We start from the raw sequence: 6,469 nt of genomic DNA, 5'->3' as shown, positions 1-6,469 counted from the left end.
CAAAAAAAAAAGTAAAAGCAACATAATTTCCCACATAATTAGAAAAACCAACAGTATGCTGGGAAATACACAATGTTTAAGTCAAAATCATCTCAGAAATTGGATACCAGTTATATAACTATTCCTTATACACAGTTGCCTTTGATACCCTACTCCAAATTGAAGCTGCCAGCTGCTGTCTTAGCAAAGACCCTCAAAGTTCTTGCTGTACTTGTTTTAAGAGGTTTTTTTTTTTTTTTTTTTTTTTTTTTTTTTTTTTTGAGACGGATTCTTGCTCTGTCGCCCTGTCGCCCAGGCTGGAGTGCAGTGGCACAATCTTAGCTCACTGCAAGCTCTGCCTCCCGGGTTCACACCATTCTCCTGCCTCAGCCTCCTGAGTGGCTGGGACTACAGGCGCCCACCACCATGCCCAGCTAATTTTTTGTATTTTTAGTAGAGACAGGGTTTCACCGTTTTAGCCAGGATGGTCTCGATCTCCTGACTTCGTGATCCGCCCGCCTCAGCCTCCCAAAGTGCTGGGATTACAGGCGTGAGCCACCATGCCCAGCCCACTTTAAGAGTTTTATAACGGTTTCATTTCCCCTTATTCCCTGCTCCAACCCATCCTCCACTCTATCACCAGAGCTATTTTTGAAATCACGAATCTGGTCAAATAATTTTTCTGCTTGAAAAATTACTAGTGCCCCACTTCCTACTATATGAAACTTAAAATCTAGTCATCACTGGGCCCCAAACTACCTTCTTTTCAGAATCTCTCTAATCCTTTCCCTTCATCAAGTCCCCTACATTATTATTATTATTATTATTATTATTATTATTATTATTATTATTATTTGAGACAGAGTCTCACCCTGTCACCTGGGCTAGAGTGCAATGGCATGATCTCGGCTCACTGCAACCTCCACCTCCCAAGTTCAAGTGATTCTCCTGTCTCAGCCTCCCAAGTTGCTGGGATTATAGGCATCCACCATTACACTCAGCTAATTTTTGTGTTTTTAGTAGAGATGGGGTTTCACCATGTTGGCCAGGCTGGTTTCTAACTCCTGACCTCAGGTGATCTGCCCGCCTTGGCCTTCCAAAGCACTAGGATTACAGGTGTGAGCCACCGCAACTGGCCGTCCCCTATATTGCAGCACAGTGAACAACTGTTTCCTGAACATCACAAGCTCTTTTAGACACTACAGTGTATAAGCAGGTCTCTGTCTAAACTGCTCTCCTCTTGCCCCTCTGCCCAACCAATGTCTGCTCATCCAAAGAATGTATCCCGTGTGTTCATTAACTTAGCAAGTTCCCAGTAAACAGTTTAATTGATCACTCGTTAAGAGAAGGCGGGAAACCTCCATGAAAAGAGAAATCAGTGGGTATTTCCTACAGCATTTAACACATCGTAGGCCTTCAATAAACCCTTGTGAAATAAACAAACCTCTTTACTCTTCATTCTATGTTGCTAAGAATCTCACCTAAGTCTGTCTACCATGTGAAACTGCAGATGACCTCACAGAAAATGGAAAGAAGTATCTCTAAAAATAAGTTTATTTGGCAACACACTACAGGCTACAGGTTCACTTCTGATTCTTTTTCTTTTTTTTTTTGAGATGGAGTCTTGCTGTGTTTACCCAAGACATGTTTTAGACTGTAAATTGGAGGCTGAAAAACATCATAACATCACTTTTGCCCTACTCAATGACTATCCTGTTACTAAGGTTGGGCCAAAATTAAAGGGGGGGTCATAGGCCCCCACCTCTTTTTTTATTTTCAGACAGGGTCTCCCTCCGCTGCCCAGGCTGGAGTGCAGGGGCGCAATCATAGCTCACTGCAGCCTTGACCTCCCAGGCTCAAGCAATCCTCCTGCTTCAGCCTCCCAAGTAGCTGGGACATGGGCATGCATCATCACAGCTGGCTAATTAAAAACATTTTTTTTTTGAGACGGAGTCTCGCTCTGTTGTCCAGGCTGGAGTGGAGTGGCGCGCTCTCGGCTCACTGCAACCTCTGCCTCCTGGGTTCAAGCAATTCTCCTGCCTCAGCCTCCTGAGTACCTGGGATTATAGGTGCCCAACACCACACCTGGCTAATTTTTTGTATTTTAGTAGAGACAGGATTTCACCATGTTGCCCAGGCTGGTCTCAAACTCCTCAGCTCAGGCAACCCGCCTGCCTTGGCCTCCCAAAGTGCTAGGATTACAGGCATGAGTGACCATGCCCAGCCTAAAAACTTTTTTTTAAGGGATGGGATCTTGCTAGGCTGCCCAGGCTGGTCTTGAAGTCCTGGCCTCAAGCAATCCTCCCACCTTGGCCTCCCAAAGTTCTAGGATTACAGGCGTGAGCCACCATGCCTGGCTGATCCTCACCTATTTTTTTGTTGTTGTTTGAGACAGGGTCTATCTCCATCTCCTCGGCTGGAGTGCAGTGGCTTGATCATGGCTCACTCCAGCCTCAACCTCCTGGGCTCAAGCAATGCTACCACTTCAGCCTCCCGAGTGGCTGCGACTACAGGTGTGCACCACCACACCCTGCTAATTTGTGTATTTTTTGTAGAGATGAGGTCTTGCTATGTTGCCCAGGCTAGTTTCAAACTCCTGGCCTCAGTCAATCCTCCCACCTTGGCCTCCCAAAGTGCTGGGATTATAGGTGTGAGCCACCACCTCTGGCCAGCTCCCACCTGTTGATCAAAGGAGCATCAAAGAATTTGCAGCCTCCAGAAGGAGGTCATTTCCTGCCTCTGAGTCTCAGTTTCCACATCTATGAAATAAAGTTAATGATCCTTCACTCCAGGGTTGTCGTGAAGGCTAAATTAAGTTGTATTTGGAAAAATATGTGGGGCACAGTAGGTGTGTTTCTCACACCCAGAGTCAGAGTGTTTAGCAGAGGGTTAGTAGTTGCCTCCAGGGCATGAAGGGCTCTTCCTGACCCTAAGTGTGAGGAACGCTTTGGGTTAAAAGATTGTACTTTTCTGCGTTCAGCTGAAAGGTGGAGGGCTCAGTGAGGTGGCTCACACCTGTAATTCCAATGCTTTGGGAGGCCGAGGTGGGAGGATCACTTGAGCCCAGGAGTTTGAGAGCAGCTTAAACAACACAGTAAGACCTTGTTTCTACACACACACACACACACACACACACACACACACACACACACACACACATATTAGCCAGGCGTGGTGGCATGCGCCTGTAGTTCCAGCTACTTGGGAGGCTGAGGTGGGTGGATTGCTTGAGGCAAGGAGTTTGAGACAAGCCTGGTCAACATAGTGACACCCCATCATCCCCCAAAATCATTTTTCTTTGTTTTAAGGCAGAGCCTCACTCTATTGCCCAGGCTGGAGTGCAGTGGTGTGATCTCACCTCCTTGCAACCTCTGCCTCCCGGGTTCAAGCGATTCTTGTGTCTCAGCCTCCTGAGTAGCTAGGATTACAGGTGTGCACCACCATGCCTGGCTAATTTTTGTATTTTTAGCGGAGATGGGGTTTTGCCGTGTTGGTCAGGCTGGTCTTCAACTCCTGGCCTCAAGTGATCCGTCTGCCTTGGCCTCCCAAAGTGCTGGGATTACAGGTGTGAGCCACTGTGCCCAGCCACAATAAATCATTTTTAAAAGGTTAAATTTAACCTCATTTAAGTAATACATGTAAGTCTCATCGAATAATTGAAGCCAGTTTGTGAGGTAAAGTCTATTATTATGTGCATTTTAATTCTTAGCGTTTAATTAAAGCCTCATAAGTACAAATAAAAACAGGACTTGCTATAACAGGTTGCCACCTATTTTCTTTAAAGATGACGAGCAGCATCTTATTTGCGTTAACACAAGTCATCCACATAACAAATATAGATAAGAAAAGTGGCCAGGTGTGGTGGCTCATGCCTCTAATCCTAGTACTTTGGGAGGCCGAGGCAGACAGATCACTTGAGGTCAGGAGTTCGAGACCAGCCTGGGCAATATGGTGAAACCCCATCTCTATCAAAAATACAAATATTAGCCCGGCATGGTGGTGGGCGCCTGTAATCCCAGCTACTTGGGAGGCTGAGGCAGGAGAATTGCTTGAACCTGGAAGGCGAAGTTTGCAGTGAGCCAAGATCATGCCACTGCACTCCAGCCTGGGTGACAGAGCGAGACTCTGTCTCGAAAAAAGAAAAAAGAAAAGAAAAGAAAAGTAAGGCACTTAGAGGGTAAGTGGCTTCACTCGGTACTAAGTAGGGGAGTGTGGATTTGAGCCAAGCTGTGGGTTCAAACCACATCAACACCTGCTATGCCTGACTGCGTCTCCACGCTGCTGGGAAGGTTGACTGAATCTGCCACTACCTCCCTGGGGTGCATGTGCTTACCAAACCATTGCATTATGTAAAAGGCGGTACTGTAGGTTTTTAGTTTTTTAATTTTTATTTTTTTGAGATAGAGTCTCACTCTGTCACCCAGGCTGGAGTGTAGTGGCATGATCTTGGCTGACTGCAATCTCTGCCTTCCGGGTTCAAGCGATTCTCTTGCCTCAGCCTCCTGAGTAGCTGGGACTACAGGCCCACACCACCACGCCTGGCTAATTTTTGTATTTTTAGTAGAGACAGGGTTTCACCATGTTGGACATCATGGTCTCGGTCTCTTGGGCTCATTATCTGCCTGCCTCGGCCTCCCGAAGTGCTGGGATTACAGGTGTGAGCCACCGTGCCTGGCCTCTAGTGACCTCATTTTAACTTGATCACCTCTGTAAAGACTCTGGTTCCAATAAGGTCACCTCTAAGGTCTGGAGGGTCATGGCTTCAATACATGAATTAGGGGTGGGGGGCACACCATGCAGCCCATAATACTAGCGTATCTGGTTATGTTAAACTTGCTATAGCCACAGTCTCGCTGACTTGGATTATGGTACCATGGGAAGGGCCCTTAAAGATCATCTTATCTGGTTGGGCTCAATGGCTCACGCGTGTAATTCCAGCACTTTGAGAGGCCAAGGCAAGAGGATCGCTTGTGACCAAGAGTTCAAGACCAGTCTGGGCAACAGAGCAAGATGCTATATCTACTACAGGCATGCACCTGTAGTCTCAGCTACTTGGGAGGCTGAGAGAAGAGGATTGCTTGAGCCCAGGAGGCAACAGAGAGCTGATTGTACCACTGCACCCCAGCCAAGGCAACAGAGACCTTGTCTCTAAAAAACAAAAACAGGCCGGGTGCAGTGTCTTATGCCTGTATTCCCAGCACTTTGAGAGGCAGAGGCGGGTGGATCATTTGAAGTCAGGTGTTCAAGACCAGCCTGGCAAACATGACGAAACCCTAAAATACAAAAATTAGCCGGGAGTGGTGGTGGGTGCCTGTAATCTCAGCTACTCGGGAGGCTGAGGCAGGAGAATCGCTTGAACCTGGGAGGCAGAGGTTGCAGTGAGCCGAGATGGAGCCACTGCACTGCAGCCTGGGTGACAAGAGCGAAACTCTGTCTCAAAATATTAGGAAAAAAAGAGAGAGAGAGCCTCTTTTCCATCTCCCCGCCACAGAGTTGTCTTCAGTAATTTCATTCCCTTTTTTCCTGAGGATTCACTGGGTTTCTGGGTCCCAGAGGGGAAGTTCTCTTCAAGGTACAGAAACCACGACTCCGCAGAGAACCGCAGAGATGGCAGCATGACCAGACCACGGACAGGTGTGTAGAAGCTGCTGGGCTGAAACTTGGGCTGAACTTCCGCTGCAGGTTGACTTATTCCCATCAGCACCAAAGCCGCTGGAGGGGGTCATCCACTAGCAAATGAAGTGGGGGCACGGATTGGAGGCTGTTTCAGAAGGTCCCACTGAGCCACGGACTCAAGGCCTGGCCACAGCCCTCCCAAGCGAGGCCCAGATCATATTTCACCACGCTCAGAAAACCTTGCCAGCTCATTTCAGTCCACAGTGACTTTGCTTTCTTTAGGATCTCTCTTGCACTGTCCAACTCAGAGAATTTCAAATCTGAATGGATTCCAATGATGGAGCTAAATCAGGCCTCACCTCAGTTTTTTAATTACAATCAATAGGGCTGGGTCCCAGCATCTGTGTCTTAATGTTCCTCCATGTGATCCTCATGCTGAAAGGCTGGTATTTGAAAATCCCTTTTTTTGGGGAGTGAAGGGTTTTTTTAGAGACAGGCCTCACTCTGATGCCCAGCCTGGAATGCAGTGGTGGATCACAGCTCACTGCAGCCTCGAACTCCTGGCCGCAAGAAATCCTCCCACCTTAGCCAACCAAAGTGTTGGGATTGCAGGAGTGACCACTGTGTCCAGCCAGGAAAGCCCTTCTGTTTCACTTGAATGATATTTCTGCCGCAGACCTACAGCCATTGTTGTATTAAACGGCATCATTGCAGGAAAAGAAAAGGTGAGAGGTGACTGTTTTGCTTTTTTCTGAACATATCAGACCAAACCTGGGCTGTCTGGCACTTTTTTTTTTTTTTTTTTTGAGTCGGAGACTCACTCTGTCGCCCAGGCTGGAGTGTAGTGTCGTGATCTCGGCTCACTGGAACCTCC

Source organism: Homo sapiens, chromosome 7, assembly GCF_000001405.40.
Source record: "Homo sapiens chromosome 7, GRCh38.p14 Primary Assembly".
Taxonomy (NCBI): domain Eukaryota; kingdom Metazoa; phylum Chordata; class Mammalia; order Primates; family Hominidae; genus Homo; species Homo sapiens.
Note: the sequence above shows the minus strand (reverse complement) of the source record.